We start from the raw sequence: 23,732 nt of genomic DNA on the forward strand, positions 1-23,732 counted from the left end.
ATAGTCATTGAAGTTATTAACTCAATCTCTAGCCCCTTCCCCCTTCCTAGAAGAAAGGAGTTAGAACTGAAAGTTCCAAGTTTCTAATCATGGCTTAGTCTTTCTGGCAACCAGCCCCTATTCAGGAGCCCACCAAGAGTCATCTCATTAGAACAAAGAGAGTCCTATCACCTAAGAAGTTCCAAAGGATTAGGAGCTCTGTGTCAGAAGCCAGGATAAAAGGTCAATTATTAGAACAAGAGATACATGTAGAACCCCTATCACTCAAGAAATTAAAAAGGTTTTAGGAGCTCTGTTCCAAAAACTAGGGGTAAAGTCCTATATCTATTTCTTATTGTGTCTCACACATGCTCATATACAAGCATGTATATTATTAGTTTGAAGAAAAAAATAAGTCAATGCACCACATACAGTGTTAGCCATTCACTCTCACACACTGTTGGAGGAACTGTGAATTCATATTATCTTTTGGGAGGATACTTTTGCATCTGTAACCAAACATTTCACTCTAAACCTTCAAAAATTATAAATTCCCCTCTGAAGAACCTCTCCTACAGATTACAGATGTTCTCATAGAATGTACATCTTCACTACTGCACTGTTAGCTAGCACAACATTGGAACCAACCTAAACATCTACAAATGAAGAAGGGTTTAATAAATTAACGCTGTAATACCACGCAGCTATTTGAAAAGAGAGATTTAAATGTAATGGCCTAGACAGATGTCCATGATGAAGTAAGTGGAAAAAAAACTGAATAATGAAACTTTTGACATGTAAATGTATAAATATAAAGAAGATATAAAAGGATTTGCACCACACTGTTAAAAGTGGTTATCACTGGAGATGAGCCTGGAAGAGCTTAGGGTTGAATTTTCAACTTTTACTTTACATATATATCTTTTTTTTAGTAAGGATATGGATGATTTTCAAAATTTTCTCTTGGATTTTCAATTTTTAAAATTTTTTTAAATTAAATAATTTGGTGTCTTTAATTTGCTAAAGATTTACATAAGATTTCCATATGTCTAGTCTTAAGTGAGACCAGTCTGTAGGGTTTGTGTGTGTGTGTGTGTGTGTGTGTGTGTGTGTGTATCTTTGTCCTGTTTGAATACCAAAGTTGCATCTTGAAAAAATGAATTGATCATTTTCTATTTTCTGTTCCTTCAAAGTCTGAACAAAATAGGAATCATTTTATTTTCACAAGGCCTCTTAGAACCTAATTGGAAAGTTATCTGCATGTTGCATCTTTCTCAAGGGTAGTTCTTGAACCACTTTTCTACTTCTTTCATAGGCTGATATCCAGACTCCCTTTTGTAATTAAGTTCAGCTTTCATATCTGTATGAACTTATTTTTCAGAAAAGTTTTACTTACTCTGCTGTTCATGTCTTCAATCTGCTTTGCTTGCTGAATTCTCCTCATTTCTAAGACCTGCTCTCTTTTCTTTTGCAACCATGCTTTAAATACTATGCCATTCTCCCTCTTTTTTTCTTCCTCTTCTTCTATTTTCTGTTGCTCTTCCTCTCTTTTCAGCTTTTCTCTCTTTTGTTCTCGTTTTGTAGTTCTTTCTGTCAAGGGGAAAGACAGTATGTTGAGGTCACTGATGAGATATGTGCAGACTGTCCTGATTAGATTTCCCATTCCCTTTACTTCGATCTGAGATGGCAGCAGAGCTTGGACAAGTCTTGCGGTTGAGTGGTGGGATATAAGCCAACTTATAAGTGGAGGGATATAAGCCAACGGCTCTCCTGTTGATGAGTGAGTGACAACATCAATCTTTGCTGCAGAATCTTCTTTCTTGATGCCACTGACACAGGAGTTGGAAGATCTGGGTAACACCTGCTGAGGGTCATTTTCTGTACTATTTGCATTATTAATGGGAGGCAAATACCCCTGACTCTTCAATGTCTTGTAAATTCAGAAGTTCAAATTTTCCATCTCTCTCTACCAGTATTGTCCTATCCTTGTTTATTTCACAGCTTCCATTAATAAGTGACAGGAGCATATTTTCTTGTCCCAAATCATTGGAAATACATCACTGTGACAGTTTCCCAAATATATTTCTTTCATTTTCAAAATAACTTTTGTAAGTATTAGTGTCTTTTAGTGGAGGAACTTCCAGATCAACTAATTTGTCCTTGAGCTTAAATTTTCACTCCCTTTTATCATTCACGGGTTCTTGATTCTATAGAAGCTTGTTAGCTTGTACAATTTTCTCCATAATGTATCACCTTACTTCCTCATCCTCTTCCTCCTCCAAGTCTTTCTGGCTTTCTAGTTTGGACTCCTGGAAAGAGTTTTCACTATCTGAATCTGATATGGGATCCAAAGGTTGAATACTCGGTACCGAAATGAAGTCATTTCTTCTTGGTGAGACCTCATCCTGCAAAGATTTGTCAGGATCAGAAAGCTGTTTGCTGTGTTCTATTACTGTTTCATTCTCTTTTAAGTCTTGGTTAATATTCTCTTCCTTCTCACAAGCCATCTCTATTATGCTGGCATCACTTTTTTCATTTTCATTAGTTAACCCCTCCAGGTCCTTTTCAGATTCATCTTTGTATTCTTCACTTTCTTTTGAATCAGTCTCTTTATTTTCATTCATTTTCCTCTCTCCCACCATTAATATTTCTACTCCACACCGTCCTTCCCTTCTCTCCCTCTGTTTCCCTCCTGTCTGTGTAAAATGCGGCGGCTGGGGTCACAGAGACGGCCAGGGGAGTTCTCCTCTCCTCCGCTTTCTAAGCTCTTCACATCGAGGCAAGGGAGACCCTGGCACCTGCCTCCGCAGCAGCCAGGACCACACTGCCATGGCAACAGCATGCCTCTGTGTCCTCCATCTGGGCCTCTCTGGCAGATCAATTTTTGAGGACATAAAACCTTTGTGTCTTTATGTATGAATCCTATAAGAAATTCCAGCTAAAAAGTAATGCTTCCCACAAAGAACTTGTATGTTTTCCCTTCTCAGATGTTGAAAGCTGTGTAACTTTTCAGTTTTCATTTATCTTGGCTGCCAAGATGCTCGGAACTGAATTCGTAATTATTTTATCCTTGGTTTCTAGCAGTCATTTCCCCCTTTGCATATTTTCTGACATCTTTTTTATCTTTATTTTAACTGTGAGGCAGTATCTAATATTGATGCTAGAATTAAACTGCCTACTCTCAAATCCCAGCTCTGTCACTTATAGCTGAGTAACCTTGACATTTTAACCTCTGTATGCCTCAGTTTTCTCTTCTTTAAATTGGAGGCAATAATACTACTTGCTTCACAGAATTAATGTAAGGGTTGAAAGGGCTTATCTATAAAAGTACTTGGAATCGTGCCTGGCACATACTAAACATAATGTAAATACCATTAAATCCATGTTCTAAAATACTCTGTGCATGTGTACTTTGCAAAGTACCACAAACACATTTGGGAAGCAGGCAGGATATAAACATTATTTTTATTAAATCTCTATTTTGTTTTAAATCACAGAATTATGTTCTGACAATAACCAATTTAAACAACAGAAAAGTGGTTACAGAATCCCTGCCCCTCCCCAGGTAACCAGAAACCCCAGTTATGCGGAAATAACTACCGTGTTCCATTTCTTCGACTTCAGTCTGTTCATCCTCACCTGTTGAGAATTTTCTTTCTATACAATAAGTGCACATGCTATATTGAATACAGACTTTGCATGCTCCCTTTCTAACTTGATATGCTCCCTTTCTAACTTGATAACTCTCTTGCCAAGTCACAAGACTCAGAAGCTGTCTACCCCAAATCAATCTGACAGTTTGAAAACTTAGTCTTATATTTGTCTTATGTTTTGTTTGTTTGTTATAAACTTGGCTCACTTAGATTCACTTTCCTACGACAGTGCCCACGTTGGAGTTCGTTATCAATAAAGCAGGGACAGTCACACCTCCTTTATAATCAGGTTGCTGGCGGATTTGATGCTGTGATGGTGTAATGGGAGTTCTAAGTGCTGGCCAGCTGCACTTCCCTTTCACTGCCAGCGGGGGCGCAGTCTAACTGAGAAGTTGTCCTGGGGGAGAGCGTTCTGGAGGGTAAGAAGTTTGTCCCACGAGGTTTCTCTTACTTTGCCTCCGCAGTATACACGTACATCCAAAGCCGGTTCTACCGATCCCCAGAAGTGATCCTGGGCCACCCCTACGACGTGGCCATTGACATGTGGAGCCTGGGCTGCATCACGGCGGAGTTGTACACGGGCTACCCCCTGTTCCCCGGGGAGAATGAGGTGGAGCAGCTGGCCTGCATCATGGAGGTACGCGGAGGGCTGGCGGTCGGCTCCCACGGAGACCGTGGGCTTGGCCCTCAGACACGGGGCTGCACCAGACTCGCCCAGGACCATGGCCTGCATACCTTGTTGTTGTTGTTGTTGTTGAGTATTCCCTAAAAGGAGTTTTGAAATTGTGTACTCCCTTGTACTTGTCAAGTCGACATCTAACGTTTTATCATAAATTTAAATAGTTGCAGAGGATGTCATTTCCATCATATTGTAAATAGTGACATTTTAAAATAAAATTACACCGCTCTTTCAAAAATATCCAAAAGAATGCAAAACCAGACGGACATGACACCCATTAAAATCTATCTGATAGTATGTGAACAGGTTCTTAAGAGTTGTGCCATGATTTTACTTTGTTCTTTTTTCCCTTTTGTTTCTACTCTTTTTTCTACTTCCTCTATGGAATTTTATTCTAATTTAATATACGTTTATGTTTAGAAACTTCTATCAATCATTATAGCTTTAAAAATTTCCTGATACCGTAAGCCTCATGTGTAAAAATTTCTTTCTGGTAAGTTACCATTAAAATATATCTGGTGTGCAAATTTTGATAATTATTGAAAATAAAATGTGAAATCTTATTGGGCATACAGCTCTTAGAAAAATGAATAGAGCTGGGTTTTTTTTTTTTTTTTTTTTTTTTTTCCAAATTAATGCCTATACCCATAGGTGAATAATGCTTCTTGCTAGAATGCCCGGGCTCGGGATCAATGTGATTCCAATTGCTTGGTGGTGTAGATGTGAACCCAGTGAGGAAGCCTGTTCTAATTAATGTCGTCTAATTCGGTGACTCCTTTTGAGTTCTGTGTAAGAATCAAATGGTGATCTGTCATCTAAAATTATGTTTACCAGCCTGTCAGCTGACAACCCGATTAAAATGTTGAAAACAAAGAATTGGAAATTATTTGACTTCAAAGTATGTGTATTGTTCAGGCATTAGTCATTCATTATGGGAAATGACAGTTTTCTGGGAAAACTATCTCCTAATAGCAAGGCTTGACCAAGACTCATGATATGATTATTAATTATATCTATTATGCTTTCACTTGAAAGCCATCTTGTTTTGGAAATAAATTAGACAAAATAGAAAAATAACTTTAAAAATTTTAAATTTTACATTTTAGGATTTTCCCAGTGAACAAAGATATTTTGTGTGCAAACACCAAGCTAGCTGGCTGGCTGGCTATCTATCTATCTATCTATCTATCTATCTATGTATCTGTATCTATCTATCTTTGCCAAATTTCTATTTTCCAGATTGTCTCAAAGTTACAGAGAAACACATATAGCCTTGAGAATGACTAAACATAGATAATTTCATTTCATGATCGAAACTAATAATAAAATATTAAAATAACTTAGGTAAAAATAGCTGTGGTGGAATGAACACTGGCCTGCGAGTCATTAAACCTGGGGTCTTAGTCCTGGCTCTGTCTTTTTGACTAGGCATTTCCCAGCTCTGGACTATAAAATGAGGGGAGCAGAGAAGATGGCTTCTAAGGTTGATAATGAATGATTTTATAAAGCATCCCCAGACCACTCCTGCTTCCAATACCAAAGAGAACGGGGCCTATGTTTCAAATTTCCTACAGCCCCAGAACTGACTCAGCTTCCTCTTGACCTCAGTGTCAAAGGGTCTGAGGAACAGAAGAGCAGGATAATGGATGGATTATGGGTGGGAACCGAGCAGCAAGGGCAGGTGACCCACACTGTAATTTCCTTATCTCTGTGTGCCCCTCTAAGTTGCAGTAGGAAAAGATGAACAAGTAGGTGCTACACTTTTCTTTTCAAGAAGGTATTTTGTCTTATAATTGTCTGATGCTCATCCGGTGATTTTCATCTTTTCTTCTCCCTTTCCAGTGCTCCATGGTGGGATATATCATTCTTTAATTCTGACATGGCAGCATGTGTACTAGTTTATTTGCTTTGACAATGACATCTGGCTGCTATCAAGGGTGGTGGCCCACCCCTAGTTGGTGCTGATGTTTGTGTAGAATAACATGGCCAGTGTTGATTCTTAGGATATGAAACCAGCCCTGGATTAGGAGTTAAAAGGCCCAGGCTCTGGGTTTGCTCTGCTACTGACCAGATGTTATTACTTAATGCTTTGAATCCTTATCTGTAGAAGGCAAAGCTTGGCCAAAGTACGCTCCACCCCTCAGCCTTTGAATCTGTGCTCCCACAAAGAATGAACCAATTGAATTATCCTTATTAAGGTGCTGGGTCTGCCGCCAGCCGGCTTCATTCAGACAGCCTCCAGGAGACAGACATTCTTTGGTAAGTCCTAGTGTGTCTCATGAGGTGTCACAGGCCTTGAAGACACCTGCCATACCTTAAGGCTCATTTCATTCTTTTCCCCTGGCCACATACCAAAGGGCTGTGATTAAGAGCGTCTTTCAGAGAAGTAAAAGATAATGAGCAGGGGAATCGGATAGCATGTTGGAGATGGGATGGGGGAGTCACAGTGGGAACAGGGTCTTGACAGTAAAAATGCTCAGGAGGAGGAGAATAGCCAGGTCCCTGCTCAGAAGAGCTATCAGCAAATATTGCAACCTCAAAATATTGTAACTGCATCCTCTCCCGGAAGTTCTCCCCACTCTCCCAAGCAACTTGCCCTCTCACACTATGCACTGTGCAGGGAAATCAAAGAGCAGAAGCTTCATTTCAAGAATAGTGGAAAATTCCATTGCTGCATTATTGTTTCCCCTGCTAAAATTCTTCTTATCCTCCAGACCTTACTGTGCCAGGTTCATTGCCAATGGTTAAGCAAGGACTTAGTTTTGCTTTGATGTGTTGTGGCTGGTAGTTATGTACGTGTCATCTGTCTGATTGTTGGGAGTAAACTTCGTCCACAGTCCAGGCTGCCCCTCTCCTCATAATTCCCAGAATTCTGGATTTTTATGATCCTCCGCCTTTCTATTTAAGTGGTCCTATACAAGATGGAAGGATGGGTCGACAAGGTATCAACTGAGGCAGGGCTTTCAACGTACACGCACCAAAAAGATGCAGCAAATCTCATACCTAAAATCCCTTTAAAGAACCACAGGAAGCTAAGAGTCCCAGATAGAAACAGCCAGAGTGGGCTGAAGGTCAGCAAAGTGGAGCAAAGCCAAATAGGAGGAAAAGGGAACTCCACAGACAGGGACTCCATGCTACCTGGAGTGACATTTCTGACCAGCCATTGTTGTCAGGTCGGTTCATGGACTCCCTCTGACCACACAATCCCAGACATTCCTGGCCCTCCCACCTCTGATTTTCAACTGCGAGCAGCTTCTGAATATGTATGCAAATCACACAATTTCTGTTCACAACTTGCTCCATCAGTAGGAAGGTCCAAAACACTCTCGTGGGGAGATCCTTTAGGATAAAAGGGTTTGGGTCATGCTGGTCAGTATGAACTGATTCAGCCATGTGGGGGTTATAATTTGTCTATTTCTGTACCATTTGGTAAAAAGCCACAGCCCTGAGCCCTGCTACAACTGCAGGCTCCCTGGCCCTCTCCCAGGACTCCTTAAACTCTCCATGATCCAAAAACCTAAAAGCTGAAGGCCAAGCAAGCAGAAGTTCTCTATGATCCTACTCCAGTGCCAGGGCTGTCTTCCATTCTGATTAGTTGGTTCCATGCCATTCATTCCAATGGTTAATTCTTTTAAACATCATCTGGTAATCATGGCTGGAGCTTTGGAGACCTTGCCTCTGAGCAGGGCAGTGTCCTGGTTGCCATAGAATGGTGACCACACATTAACCGAGCAATCTGGCGGTAGGCAAAGGATCTGGCTGGCTCCCCAGTATAATTTACACATGGAGCACGCGAACTGGTCTTTGGATCCCAAATATACTTTTTCTACCCACAACTTAATAATTCAGCCTTTTGGATTAGGCAGAGTCACTGTGGGAAGACATATCTTGAGCCTGTAACTCTGAACTCATGAGATAGCATCTAGGTGGGGACTAGCAGGAAGGGAACACAGAGCACCTTCGTAGGAACGTACTAAAGACATAGGCATGTCTACTTCATAGAGTTCCTTATTTCTACCATCAGCACTAGGCTTTAGGATGGTGATGGGGTTTTGGCAGCAATATCCATGTCTTCACTTCCTGTGAAAGAAGGAATGTTGCTGAGAACTGCATCTTCGTCAGTGTTTTCCAAACTCTATCCAAATGTAAGAATCATTTGGGGACTTGGCAAAAAAGCGAATTCCTGTGATTCTCTTCTATAAGCTATGCTATGGGAAGATTGCGATAGGACCCAGGATTCGACGTTTTTAATGACGGCTCCTTGTGATTCTTATGACAAAATAAGTTTGGGAAACACGGTTGTCCACTTCAGTTCTTGACTGTTCCTTTCCCAGGTTTGGGCTGCCAACTGCTCCTCTGCCCCGGGCGACTCCTAGTTAATACCCCTAATTAGCAGCAAAATGGTGTTGTCTCAAGGCTGGTAAGATATTATACTTAGGTGGCCCAGGTGGCTCAGGTAGTAAGAAGGGGATGGAGGGAATGACTGATGAGGGCCAGAGTGAGAAAAAACAATTACATGATCATGACTTTAGGAGCTTTGTTATTGATAAGACTGTGAGCTTGATTCTTCTTTGGTCATTGGTAAAAAGGACAATGTAGGATGAAGTGGGAGGGCTAAGGCCATGATCCAAAAGGAAATGGATATTTGTACAATTTCACAGGACCTTGTCACTTAACATTTACTTTACCATTGTCATTATTATCATTAGCATTATTATTTTATCTTGGTTGGTGTTAAGCCATTTAAATTATTTCTTTGATTTGGAGAGGAGGCAGTGGGAAGGAAGTTCAGAACATACTGAATAGTAGGAAAAAATCAATTTTTAAAGTAAATTGCATTCCTTGGGTAATCTACACATGGTTATTTCAAACTGAGTGTGTGTGTGTGTGTTTATTGGGGTGTGGCATGAGGCGAGTGTGTAAGACAGAGAGCAAAAGAGCTACAGAGGCCACTCTAAGCAGCAGCATCATGTGACCACTAAAGATTTACACCTGAAACTAAATACAGAATGTTCTATCTCTACAGATTCCAAAGGTTTTCCTAAAAATATAACCAACAACAGGGGGAAAAAAAGATACCCAGATTCCAAGGACCTCACGATGGTGCTGAAAACCTATGACACCAGCTTCCTGGACTTTCTCAGAAGGTGTTTGGTGTGAGTTTGTTGGGACATCTCTGCTTCTGGGTTTCCTCTTAAATGCTGTACTTTGACACACGTTTGCTGGTGAAAGACTAAGGCTGGGAGATAGTTATAAAAGTAACAAGAAATGCTAACAATAGAGCTTTAAAGTCTACAAATTGCTTCCACATCTGTTGTTTCATCAGACATCTCTCCCTACTGTGTGGTTGTCAGGGCAGATGATTTGCTCTGTTTTGCACGTATGGAGGTTGGGGTTCAAAGAGATTAAGTGACCTGCCCTGGAATACACAGCGTATGGTAGAGTTTGTCATCTTCCTGGCCTCAAACTGCCTGGCAGTGAGATTGTTTGCCAGTCCTAAATGTCTTCTGCTCTGTGAGCTGAAGCCAACCCCCTGACTGCTTGTTGTAATGATTTGCATACACATCCAGTGTAAACTGGTTTCAGGGCCTGTCCCCCTCCCCCTAGGATTTAGTACCCAAATCGTCTTATATTAGGGAATTAGGGGGAAGGTGAGCTGTAAACCATTTATTATGTACAACTTTTTATAATCTATATGCATATTTTGAATCTTAGAAATTAGATCTGTACTTAAGTCGTAGTACCCAGCACAGCACCCAGTTTAAAAGGTGTTTAGAAAACGTTAGCTATTCTTATTATTTTACGACTATTAAAGAGGTAAATCTATCTCCACAGAGTGGCAAGTAGATTATCCATGTGATACTTGGCAAGTCATCACTTTTTTCTGGGCCTCAGTGTTCTTTCCTATAAAATACGGTATTCCTAAGCTCCCTTCCAGTTCTATCAGTCCTATAATTTAGTATTTTTAGAAGACCATATCATTACAGTCTCTTATTCTTCCAGTTGGATGGAGTGATGTTATCAAAATACTCTTCTGGCATCTGTGCTCTCTGGAATTTCAGTACTAGCTCAGAGGGTGAACCATGAGGTAATGATGAAAGTATTCCCATCGTAGGGGGTCATGCTATTCACTCATCAGAATAATCAAGGTAGGGAAGGATCCTGTACCCCATCTTTACCCCTACCTTAACAAATGACAGAAACCAACTGCTGAGACAGATGGGTTATCCAGAAACCTCAACCATCCAGAACACAGCTCAGCACCAAGGAAGGCATTATTTTCTTCTTTAGTGCAAAGGACTGATTACTCATAACTTGCAAGAGGCAGTCAGGCTGATGGGGACTGTTATCTTATATATATATATTGCTAATTAGAAAATCTTTGAGACTAAAAGTTTTGAGCCAAGTTCAATAGGCATAAATGTAAAGCCCCGTGTCTAGACTTTGTAGGCGAACTCCAGAAGTCCAGGAAAGGAGAGATGTTGTTTAACAGCAATTCATTTGACACAGAAATGAGAGTTTGAGCTGTTTTAGGACCTTAATGAGTCTAGAATGTTAATACTGTCTCCCTGCAGTTATAGAAGCTATTCCCACCATGATGGACACCAGTTAGACAACTGCTAAAATATCCTTATTTCAGAAGGTGGTCAGATGGTGAAAACCATATCATATGATCATTAGTTAGTAGCGATGTAAATATTTTCAGATGGTTGAAGGACTGAACCATAAAATTAGGATAGTTATTTTGTGTGATGGTAATGTGTTGATGAATTAGGACCTGGGTAAAAGTTACTGGGAAGCAAACCAGTTTTGGCACAATAAAAGTCAAGAACTTTTAAAGAATCGGAGTTTTTTCAGAATTGGAATAGATGGTTCTGTGAGTTAGTATCTTGTCACTGAAATTACTCAAGAATTGCAGGGTGATTCCATGATGGTAGTTCAGTCAATGTATTCTGCTACTGTATTACAAGTTTGATTGGATTATATCCAAGTCCCCTTGCAAATCTTAATATTCTAGAATTCTGTAAATCTCCTTGCAATATTTTTGAAGCCCCAATTCTGTAGTCTGGAAATTGAAATCTTTGTTTTAATATTCTTAGCTTACCAAACCCTAAATCCTATTGATTAAGCTTTTGTAAAATAATATTTCTTATAAGGAAATTTCTAGGAATGCTGGAAGACTTGGACTGTAATATATATTCCCTGGCTTGTTATACACATCTTCTAAAAAGATTATTTCCATTAGTTGTTTCCAGGTACTTTTAAGTTATATGCCATAATCTCTGTTCTATGATTATATATCTTTGAGATATCAACATAGCTTAAATAAAAATCTTTATTGGGTTTTAAAAATGTTTTAATATATTAAAAGGAAATAAAACAATAACCCATGTGGGGCTTTGTTGGGGTGCAGATGGGAACCTTCTCTTCGCATGACCCCGGACCAGGCCCTCAAGCATGCTTGGATTCATCAGTCTCGGAACCTCAAGCCACAGCCCAGGCCCCAGACCCTGAGGAAATCCAATTCCTTTTTCCCCTCTGAGACAAGGAAGGACAAGGTTCAAGGCTGTCATCACTCGAGCAGAAAAGGTACAGCCTGTCAAATAACCAGTCCTAGTCCCACAGTCCGGGAATTAATATTCTAGAATTCTGTAAATCTCCTTGTGATATTTTTGAAGCCCCAGTTCTGTAGTCTGGAAATTAAAATCTTTGTTTTTAATATTCTGTTTAATATGCTGTTTAAGCATTTCTGAAGGATTTGCATGTCAATTTCTCTAACCTCAACCTGGGATAATTCTTGTGGCTACATCATGACTAGCCTGCCATTTCTTACCTTTGGGATTTTCCTTTTCAGGGAAATTTGGCATTAGCCTGGATCTTTTTTGCCCCTTATTAGGATTTTCCATTTTTCTCCTATAATCAATTTCCTTTCTCCTCCTCCCTTTTTCATTAACTGCGTCCACCCCTTTATGCCCTATAATTACCTTTAGAATTTCTGTCAGTGCCAGATTATGGCATTATGCAAATTTTTATATGCAATATAGCCTAGTGGTTAGGTACATGGTCACAAGAGTCAGGTTACCTGGGGATTAAATTCTGGTTCTACCACTTATCAGGTGTGGACTTAACCTCTCTGTAGCTCAGTATCTCCATTTATGAGAATGAGAATAAAGCCTGTTCTCCAGGGTCGCTGAAATGATCAGACGAATTAGTAAATGTACAGTGCTTAGAATAATGCCCGGCACATTGGAGGTGCTTTACAAATGAACTGTTTTTATATCATCACGGTCATCGTTTCCACTAAGTGATGTACAACCTAAAGGACAATTAACATATAATCCACATTTGAATCTTGTTCCCTTCTGTCTTCTCTCTCCTTTAGCAGATGAGATCACCAAAGAGACTACAGAGAAAACAAAAGATAGCCCCACGAAGCATGTTCAGCATTCAGGTGATCAGCAGGACTGTCTCCAGCACGGAGCTGACACTGTTCAGCTGCCTCAACTGGTAGACGCTCCCAAGAAGTCAGAGGCAGCTGTCGGGGCGGAGGTGTCCATGACCTCCCCAGGACAGAGCAAAAACTTCTCCCTCAAGAACACAAACGTTTTACCCCCTATTGTATGACCTTTGCTGAGGGTATGTCCTGCTCCTTTCCACCAGTGATTTGTATTAAGACAGCACTTATATTGTACAATACTTCAGACTGTTTTTTTTAAATACATAAAACTTTATGTTAAAAAACTCTATTAACATGGCCAATTGGCATGACTCCTCTTATGAGGGATGGGGGAGGATGTCCTTGCACTTAAACTCATTCCATATGCATCTGTGTGTGTAGAGGGGGCGGGTAGTTTTGAACTCTCAGTGTTACAGCATCATTAATGGAACTCCAAACAAAAGAAATTTTTTTTCTTCTTGCCCATGACTGCCAACCTATGTCAGGATTTTTGTTTGAAAATGATAGAAGCTGAATTCAAAAGCAGTTTAAACAACGGAAGACACTTATTGACTTACATAATTGGGGCATCAGAAAAGGTAGATGTAGTTTCAGGCGCAGCAGGATCCAGGAATTCAAATGAGGTTGTAGGGCTCAGACTCCCTCTTCATCTATTAGCCTTGCTTCTCACTATGGTTAACTTCATCCTGATGTCAGGCCCTGCTCAGAAGTTAACCGCCAACATCCAGTCAAAAAGATACAGGCTTCCTTGCTAACAGGGAGTCTCCAAAATGATTGTGACACAGAAATTGTGACTGGGATACTGGGATGCTTGGCCAGTCTGGGCCCCAAGCCCACAGTGATGGTGAAGGCACTGTGACTGATGCTTCTCTAGACTAGAGCAAGGGATGGAAGGTTTCCCAAAGGAAGGGAAGCTAAGTAAACAAGCAGGACATGTTCACTCATCTACCATACGCCAAATCTAAGTATGTCTTCTTACTTCCCTTTCTAATCCTCATCTACACAAATACATAATTTTTATGTGGTTGTCATAGGACAGATAGAATTTTACGTGAAACTTAAGATCATAACATCAGAAACAACATAGAGTATATAAAAATAGTTTTCTTTTTTGCTTGCCATTTGGAATAACCTCCCCCCAGTACAGTTTTCATTTTAATTGTTGCATAATATTTTATGAAGGGGGACACCAGGTCATTGAAGCAATGGATTTGGATGTAATCTCCCAGGAAAAATCTTGAGTTAGAATAGCAGAGGGTTGAGAGAAAGTCCCAGGAAAGACAAATATATAAGGAGTTGCCAGAGTTGAGGAGGTCCTCCAAGAGACCCAGAGATACAGAAAGAAAATTAGAAGCCAATGGAGAAGTTTCTAGACAGAAAGAGGAGTCAAGATAGAAAATTCCACAGAAAATCCAGGGTAAGAACAGAAAATATTTCTTAAGTGGGGTGATATGGACATTAAGTCAGAGCAGTGTTAGAACAGGTAACTTATCCCAGTTTCTATAGCCAGAAAGCCACAAAACCAGCAATAGAACTCAGATCCTTGGGAACATTCTTGAAACGATCTTCAACCATGGATGAAGTTGGAGGTGGACACTGTTCTGCAGCTCTACAGAGAATAAGAAGCCAGGTCTTCAACATTGTAATCAGGATGATTTTGATTGAATAATTCAAAAGTATCTTCTGATTTTCATGGTTATAAAAGGTTAAAATGAATTCTTGATAAACTGTGGCTTATTTTAAGAGAATAGTTTAAATAAGGAAGCTGCAAATTGTGACACAGACAGGGGACAGGCTGAGTGACCTTCAGCAGGGCCTCTCAGTCCAGCTCTGTTGTACCTCTACCATTCATCTGGTTATTTTTTTCACTCCTGGGATTTCTTTACCTGATTGTCCCATTGGATCCCAAGGAAACAAAACATGTGGAGCCCTTTAATTGTAATTTTTTAATTTTACGTCCTTGCTTGCATGGACAGGAAAATCTGCAAAATCCAGTGGCTAGCACAAGATGACATGTCTTTGATGAGAGTGGTGTGAAGATAATGTTAGGGCTCTGTGAGGATATAGAGGGGGAGATGTGGAAGTGAGAAAGAAGGGCGGGGATAAGGGCCGGCCCCACTGCCAGAAGAGGGGAAAGCAGTGGGGTTGCCGATTACAGGTTCACCATCAGCCAGTCCAGCAGCTGCAGCGGTGTGACATTCCCCACCGCCTCATTCAGCTGGCGCTCCTTCTCATAGCGCAGCACCGACTGCAGAACCTCGCCCACACTGCATCCTTTGTCCACAGCAGCAGCTGAGAGCTGAAGTAGCTGTGAAAGGAAAGAAAACACCAGTGGTGAGGCACAGCATCTCATGGCAGGCCAGATGGAGCCTGCCAAGGCTGGAGCAGAGAGGCCAGGCAGACCTTGGGAAACTGCAACACAGACTTTAAAGTTTGCTGGCCTGTTTAACAGAAGGAGGTTGGTGACTTCATTCTTAGTTTAAAGAAGAGATGTTAACACCCACCTGCCCATGATCTTGCTCTCTAAGAATTCTAAGGTTCTAAGCTCACCCTAATATCATAAAAGTCTCCATCATTGTCCTAAGACCAACAGGGCAGGATGGAAAATGTCCAGTGGACAAATGTGGATGCTGCTTTCCATGCCCCATAGACCACAGAATCCTAAAATGTTAGAGCAAAAAGGCACCTCAGAGATCAATTCAACCCTCATGAAAATGTTTCCCAGAGAAGTACAGAGATTTGTCAGAATTAACTGCTAGTAATTAGCAGAACCAAAATTCATTGCAGGTATTGGAGCCTATCTTTAGCTCTTTTTCCAAGTACAAAATGAGAAAGTTAAGCAACCATTCTAATATAAATACAACGCTGTCATTTATCTGGAATCCTAAGGGCAACAAACTCTCTCAAGTAATCAGATTTTTATTTTGTTCATTTTGCTCTTGACTTTTTACAACAAAGGGCAGGCAAATAAACACACCAAATATTGAGAGCCTCTTCAGAAAGAGAAATATCCATGTGAGAAACTGAAACAGAAGAACCAAATGGAAATTTTAGAACTAAAACTTACCTACAAAATATAAAATAAAAACCTGTCAGATGGGCTAAATAGCAGAATGTAAATGAGAGAGGAAAGTCAGTAAACTTGAAGGTAGATCAATAAAAATTATCCATGCTGAACAACATATGAAATTGATTAAACTTATTTCAAAAAACATTTAAAAAATAAACAGAGCCCAAGGACTTGTGGGCAATACCAAAAACTTTAACATTTATGTTATTAGAATACCAAAGAAGAGAAAAGCGATGATGCAAAACATATCTGAAGAAATAATAGATGAGAGTATTCCTAATTTGCCAAAAAGTTTTAAACCTATACATTCAAAAAGCTCAGGGTACCTAAAATAAAATAAACCCAAACCCAAACCCAAAGAAATTAACTCCAAGACCTACCATAACTAAATCACTGAAAATTAAAGAAAAAGAAAAAAATCTTAAAAGCATCCAGAGAAAACCATTTATAGGGGAACTGCAAGTCAAATGACAGCCAATTTCTCATCAGAAACCATAGAGGACAGAAGAAAGTGTCACGTCTTTTAACTGCTAAGAGAAAAAAACTTGCCAAATTAGAATTCTATATCCAGCAGAAATTATAACTCAAGAATGAAAGTCAAGTAAAGACATTGTCAGATTAAATAAAACTGAGAGAATTCATTGCCAGAAAATGTGTTCTAAAAGAATTGCTAAAGGAAGTTCTTCAGAGAGAAGGACGATGATATCAGAAGGAAACTGGGAACATTAAGAATGAATGAAGAGCAACACAAACAGTAAAACTCTCAGTATAAATAGTAGGCTATCCTCTTCAGTTCTTTAAAATATATTTTAAGGGCCGGGAGCAGTGGCTCACGCCTGTAATCCCAGTACTTTGGGAGGCTGAGGCAGGAAGATCACCTGAAGTCAGGAGTTTGAGACCAGCCTGGCCAATATGGCAAAACCCCATCTCTACTAAAAATACGAAAATAACTGGGTGTCATGGCACGTGCCTGTAATCCCAGCTACTCGAGAGGCGGAGGCAAGAGAATTGCTTGAACCCAGGAGGCTGAGGTTGCAATGAGCCGAGATCACGCCACTGCACTCCAGCCTGAGCAACAGAGTGAGATTCTGTCTCAAAAAAAAAAAAAAAAAGTGTTTTAAGGTTGAAAGCAAAAGTAACATTGAGGGCTTTTTCAAAGTATGTAGATTAAATACATAAAGCAACTCAACTATAAAGGGAGAAGGATAAAGGAACCTTATATGGTAGTAATATTTCTACCTTCCAGCTTAAGTGGTAAACTATTGATGCTACATGGATTCTGAGAAGTTGGTATGTACATTGTAATCCCTAGATTAACCACTAAAAAAACTACACACAAAGATATAGTCAAAAATGCAATAGATAAATTAAAATGGAATACTAAAACATGTTCAAATAGTCCAAGAGAAGGCAGCAAAGGGAAAACAGGAAGAAAAAAGAGAAGCAACAAATAATAAAATGGTAAACTTCAAACATATCCATAAATTGGGCTAAGCATAAATGATTAACATATCTAAACATCAAATGTCAGAATGGACAAAAAATATAACCCAAGTGTATGCTGCCTACCAAAAACCTCACTTCAAATATAATAAGTTAAAATTATAAGAAAAGATGTACCATGAAAATGCCAATCAAAAGAAGACTTGAATCTAACATTTATGGTCAATAGGATTTTTTAATAAAGGAGATGGATAATTCAGAGGGGCCAGATTCCCAGTGGTCTTTTCAACGAATGGTGCCAAGATAAGCTTCATATCTATATGCAAGATATTGAATTTGGACTCCTACCTCACACAAATTAACTCAAAGTAGATCATAGACCTAAACATAAGAGCTAAAATTATCAAGCATGTAGGCAAAAACAAGGAGAAAATCTTCATGGCCTTGCATAGGTCAAGGTTTCTAGTTCTCAGCACTCCTGGCCTTCTGGGTTTGTTGTGGGGCTATTTTGCTCATTGCATGTTGTTTACCAGTATCCTTGGCCTCTACCTGTTTGACTCCAGTGGTAACCCCTTTCTCTGTTGTGACAGCCAAATACGTCTCCAGACATTGCCAAATGTCCCCTGGGGGGCAAAATTGCTCCTGGTTGAGAACCACTGGGTAGGCAAACATTTGTTATGACACTAAAATCACAAGACATAAAAGTAAAACGTGATAAATCGGCTGTCATCTAGTTAGACTTCATTTTGCTCTTCAAAAGACTCCATTAAATAAAAAGATAAGCCACAAACTGAGAGAAAATATTTGCAAAAATATATCAGATAAAGGACTTGTATCCAGAATACATAAAAGAGCTCTTATAATTCTAATCAAGAAGAAAACAATCCAACCAAATTATGGGTGAAAGGATTGCATAGGTATCTCACTAAAGAATATATATGAATGGCTAATGAGCACATAACGGAATAACGTGCTCAATATTTCTCATCATTTTAATGTATGTAGGCCAAATGAAATGCACAATGAGATACCACTATAATTATTACAACAAATGAAAGAATAATATTGACCAGGATGTGGAGAAACTGAAACCTGTGCAAATTACTGGTGAAAATGTAAAATGCTACAACCACTTCAGGAAATAGTTTGGCAATTTCTTAAGAAATTACACTTAACCGGTCAGGCATGGTGGCTCATGCCTGTTTTCCTGGCACTTTGGGAGGCTGAGGTGTTCAGATCACTTGAGCCCTGGAGCTTGAGACCAGCCTGGGCAACATGACAAGACCCCATCTCTAAAACAAAATACAATTAACTGGGCATGGTGGGGGATGCCTGTAGTCCCAGCTACTCGGGAGGCTGAGGTGGGAGGATCGCTTAAGCCTAGGGAGTTTGAGGCTGCAGTGACTATGATTATGCCACTGCACTCCAGCCTGGGCAAGAGAGGGAGACCCTGTCTCAAAAACAACAACAACAACAAAAAAACATAAGAAAAAAGGAAAGAAAATAAATTAGATTTATTGAATTACACTTATTGTAACATGCTGCATTACATTAATGCTCCTCATTATCTGCCCAAGAGAAATGAAAACATATAACCACACAGACTTGTATGTGAATGCTCATAGTCGCATTACTCATAATAGCAAAAATGGAAACCATCTAAATATCTATTATCTGATAGATGGACAAACAAAATGTAGTATATCTACATAATGAGGTACTATTCAGCAATAAAAAGAAATAAACTACTGATACATGCTACAACACAGATGAACCACAAAAACCTTACACTAAGTGTAAAGAGCCTGATGTAAAAGACCACATACTTTATGGCTCCATTGCATAAAATGTCAAGGAAAGGCAAATTTATAATGATGGAAAGGTTAATGGTTGCCCATGGATAGGGGATGAAAACTGGGAAATGTAAACATGAATAGCCTATAAAATTCTGAGGCAGAGAAATAAAGAGTCTCCAGTCCTATCGGATATTCAAAAATATTATAGAATTACAGTAATTAAAATAGATGCTATTGGTACAAGAGTAGATGGACAATTCAATGGCACAGAATAGAAAGTTTAGAAAAAGAATAGGAAAAAAATAAGAGATTGTGGCCAGACGCGGTGGCTCACGCCTGTAATCCCAGCACTTTGGGAGGCCGAGGCAGGTGAATCATGAGGTCAGGAGTTCAAGACCAGCCTGGCCAAGATGGTGAAACCCCGTCTCTACTAAAAGTACAAAAATTACAGTGCACCTGTAATCCCAGCTACTTGGGAGGCTGAGACAGGAGAATCGCTTGAACCTGGGGGGCGGAGGTTGCAGTGAGCCACGATCGTGCCACTACACTCCAGCCTGGGTGACAGAGCGAGACTGTCTCAAAAAAAAAAAAAAAAAAAAAGAGAGATTGTAACCCTACTTCATACCTTATATAAAAATGAATTCAAAATGTATTAAAGTCTTAAATATATTTTAAAAATCATAAAAGTACAGTCATACACTGCATAATGATGTTTCAGTGAACCACAGACTGTACATATGATGGTGGTTCCATATGCTTATACTGGACCTGAAAAACTCCTATTTTCTAGTGATATCATAGTTATCGTAACAGAGCACAACACATTACTCACTTGTTTGGGGGGATGCTGCTGTAAACAAACCTACCGTGCTGCCAGTTATATAAAAGTCTAGCACACACTATTACATATAGTGGATAGTACTTCATAATGATAATAAATGACTACATTACTGATTTCTGTATCACTGTACTATACTTTTGGTATTATTTTAGTCTACTCCTTCTACTTATTAAAAAAATTAATTGTAAAACAGCCTCAGGCAGGTCCTTCAGGACAAAGGCATTGTCATCATAGGACATAATAGCTCCATGAGTGTTACTTACCCTGAAGACCTTCTAATGGGAGAACATGCAGAGGTGGAAGGCAATGGTATTGATGATCCTGACCCTGTGTGGGCCTAGGTCAATATGTGTGTTTGTATCTTCATTTTTAATAAAAAATAAAAAAATTAAATAGAAAAAAGCTTATAAAAAAGAATATAAAGAAAATATTTTTGTATAACTGTACAACGTGTTTTAAGCTGTTATTACAAAAGAGCCAAAAAGTTAAAAAAAATCAAAACTTTGTAACATAAAAATGTTACAGTAAGCTGCTAATTTATTATTGAAGAAAGAAAAATATTTTAAAATATTTATTGTAGCCTAAATATACAGTTTTTATGAAGTCTACAGTAGTGAACAGTAATGTCCTAGGCCTTCGCATTCACTCACCACTCAGTCACTCACTCATCCAGAGCAACTTCTAGTCCTGTGAGCTCCATTCATGGTAAGTGACCTATACAGATGTACCATTTTTTATCTTTCAAACCATATTTTTACTGTACCTTTTCTATATTTAGATATGTTTAGATCCACACATACTGTGGTGTTATAATTGCTTACAGTATTCAGTACAGTAACATGCTGTATATAAGTGTGTAGCCTAGGAGCAATAGGCTATACAATATAAGCTAGATATGTAGTAGGCTATACCAGCTAGGTTTGTGTAAGTACCGTCTATTATGTTCACACAATGAGGAAATCGCTTAATGACACACTTCTCAGAGCATATCCCCATGACTAAGCAATGCATGAGTGGACTAGAAAAAAACATGGGAAAGTTTTGCTAATATCGTAAAGTGGAGAATGTTTTCCAAAATATAACATAAAACCCAGCAAAAATAAAAGAAAAATGTCTCATATTTGATGACATTTGTATGGCAGAAACAAACTACAACAACAACAACAACAAAACACCAATCAAAGGACCAATGGCAAAGGAAACATTTGTATTTAATATCATAAAGGTTGATTCCTTGTAATATATAAAACTCTTATAGATCAATAAGAAAAAGGCCTACAATGCAATAAGAAAATGGGCAGAACATAAAAAGAATACCTAGGAATACAGCTAACTAGGGAGGTGAAAATCTCTACAATGAGAATTACAAAACACTGCTCGAAGAAATCGGAAATGACACAAACAAATGGAAAAATATTCCATTCTCATGGATAGAAAGAGTCAATATTGTTAAAATGGTCATATTGCCCAAAGCAACTTAAATGTTCAATGCTATTCCTATTAAACTACCAATGAAATTCTTCATAGAACTAGAAAAAACTATTTTAAAATTCATATGGAACCAAAAAAGAGCCTGCCAACAGCCAAGGCACTCCTAGGTGAAAAGAACAAAGCTAGAGGCATCACATTACTCAACTTCAAACTATACTCCAGGACCACAGTAACCAAAACAGCATGGTACTGGTACAAAAACAGACATACAGACCAATGGAACAGAATAGAGAGCCCAAAAATAAGGCCACACAGCTACAACCATCTGATCTTTGACAAAGCTGACAAAAACAAGCAATGGGGAAGGATTCCCTAATTCAATAGGTGCTGGGATAACTGGCTAGCCATATACAGAAGATTGAAACTGGACCCCTTCCTTACACCATATACAAAAATCAACTCAACATGGATTAAAGAGTTAAATGTAAGATTAAAAACTGTAAAAACCCTAGAAGAACACCTAGACAATACCATTCTGGACATAGGAACCGGCAAAGATTTCATGATGAATACACCAAAAGCAACTGCAACAAGAGCAAAGCTTGACAAATGGGATCTAATTAAATTTAAGAGCTTCTGCACATCAATAGAAACTATTAATAGAGTAAACAGACAACCTACATAATGGAAGGAAATATTTGCAAACTATGCATCTGACAAAGGTCTAATGTTCAGCTATAAGGAACTGAAACAAATTTGCAAGAAAAAAACAACCCCATTAAAAAGTGGGCAAAGGACACAAACAGACTCTTTGCAAAAGAAGACATACGTGTGGCCAACAAGCATATAAAAACAAGCTTAATATCACTGGTCACTAGATAAACGCAAATCCAAACCATAATGAGATACCATCTCACACCAGTTAGAATGGCTATTATTAAAAGTAATGGCAAGGATGTGGAGAAAAGGCAACACTTATACACTGTTGGTGGGAGTGTAAATTAGCTCAACCATTGTCAAAAGCAGTGTGGCAATTCCTCAAAGAGCTAAAAACAGAACTACTGTTCAACCCAGCAATCCCATTACTGGGTGTATATCCAAAGGAATATAAATTGTTTTACCATAAAGACACATGCACGTGGATGTTCACTGCAACACTATTCACAATAACAAAGACATGGAGATAACCTAAGTGCCCATCAATGGCAGATGGGATAAAGAAAATGTGGTACATATACACCATGGAATATTATGCAGTCATAAAAAAGAACACAGCCATTTCCTTTGCAGGAACATGGATGCAGTTGGAGGCCATTGCCATTGGCAAATTAACTCAGGAACAGAAAATGAAATGCAGCGTGTTATCAGAAGTGGGAGTTAAATGATGAGAACACATGGACACAAAGAGGGAACAACAGACACTTGAGGGTGAAGGGTGGGAGGAAGAAGACACTCAGAAAAAAATAACTATTGGGTCAGTACTAGGCTTAGTACCTGGGTGACAAAATAAGCTGTACAACAAACCCGTGTGACATGAGTTTACCTATATAACAAACAAGCACATATACCCCTGAACCTAAAATAAGTTAAAAAAAGAAAAATGGGCAGAAGTTATGACAAATTAATCCACAGAAGAGGAAATTCAAATGGTCTTATATGCAAAGATACTCACCCTTATTCCTAATAAGACAAAAAGTAAAGCAACTTAGCAAATTAAAAATTTTAGCATGCACTGTTGGTTAAAGTGTGAGGAAATAGTCCTCTTACACTGTTTTAATAGGTGTGTTAATTGGTACAAGCTCTATGGAAGGCAATTTGGAAACATGTATCAAATTACACAAATAATATTCTCAGTGACCTTGAAGTTCCTTTCCTAGGTGTATAGCACATGTGAATACATTTGAATCTGTGCAAAATTATGTATATTCAAGGATATTCAGTGTAGCATTGCTTACAGTGCAGAATAGTGGCAACTGAAATATCCATACATAAGGGAGGGGTTAAATATATAAAACATATATAAAACATATATGATATATGAAATGGCTTCATATATTATAAAATATATAAAGCCATTAAAAAGAATGTGGCAACTCTATATGTTGCAGAAGAGGATATATATATAAAAAATAATAATTTGTGACTTTACGTGTGTGTGTGTGTGTGTGTGTGTGTGTGTGTGTGTGTGTGTGTGTGTATTGCTGGAAGGATAAATAAGAAATTGATCCAAACAATTTTTTTCTCCAGGGAAGGCAATGGGATGGAGCACACAAATGAGAAAACAACCCTTAATTTTCACCATGCATCCTTTTGTACTTTTGAATTTTGAACTATGCACACATATTATTTATTCAAAAATAAATACAAATGTATTTAAAGACA

At 38.8% G+C, this 23,732-nt stretch overlaps 2 protein-coding genes and 1 pseudogene across 9 annotated transcripts in view, besides 1 other annotated feature; 1 reads left to right on the forward strand and 2 right to left on the reverse strand.

Annotated features, from left to right (window-relative positions):
• The window catches only part of DYRK4 (dual specificity tyrosine phosphorylation regulated kinase 4), a 51,668-nt gene extending 38,610 nt beyond the window's left edge, over nucleotides 1–13,058 (forward strand). For 4 of the 7 annotated variants that reach the window (NM_001371301.2, NM_001394780.1, NM_003845.3 and 1 more), the window contains 5 exons: nucleotides 4,097–4,269; nucleotides 6,510–6,570; nucleotides 9,338–9,467; nucleotides 11,726–11,901; nucleotides 12,695–13,058. In NM_001371301.2, coding sequence (NP_001358230.1) covers nucleotides 4,097–4,269; nucleotides 6,510–6,570; nucleotides 9,338–9,467; nucleotides 11,726–11,901; nucleotides 12,695–12,936 — 782 coding nt within the window. In that variant the 3' untranslated portion in view covers nucleotides 12,937–13,058. Of the gene's footprint in view, nucleotides 1–4,081; nucleotides 4,270–6,509; nucleotides 6,571–9,337; nucleotides 9,468–11,725; nucleotides 11,902–12,694 lie in introns of those variants that run through there. The other 3 variants (NM_001394779.1, NM_001282285.3, NM_001282286.2) reach the window with 3 other exon arrangements.
• LOC103568124 (coiled-coil domain containing 181 pseudogene) lies at nucleotides 1,372–2,819 on the reverse strand (annotated as a pseudogene).
• Nucleotides 4,004–4,343: an enhancer, noted in NCBI's record as "active region_5827". NCBI's record gives its function as "activates an Ori minimal core promoter by ATAC-STARR-seq in GM12878 lymphoblastoid cells {active_cell/tissue: GM12878}" and the evidence as "EXISTENCE:reporter gene assay evidence [ECO:0000049][PMID:35858748]".
• A 1,642-nt stretch (nucleotides 13,059–14,700) lies between the features above and the next one.
• Nucleotides 14,701–23,732, reverse strand: part of AKAP3 (A-kinase anchoring protein 3) — a 33,534-nt gene continuing 24,502 nt past the window's right edge. For both annotated transcript variants that reach the window (NM_006422.4, NM_001278309.2), the window contains exon 6: nucleotides 14,701–15,077. In NM_006422.4, coding sequence (NP_006413.4) covers nucleotides 14,922–15,077 — 156 coding nt within the window. In that variant the 3' untranslated portion in view covers nucleotides 14,701–14,921. The remainder of the gene's footprint in view (nucleotides 15,078–23,732) is intronic.

Source organism: Homo sapiens, chromosome 12 (genome assembly GCF_000001405.40).
Source record: "Homo sapiens chromosome 12, GRCh38.p14 Primary Assembly".
NCBI classification, from domain to species: Eukaryota; Metazoa; Chordata; class Mammalia; order Primates; family Hominidae; genus Homo; species Homo sapiens.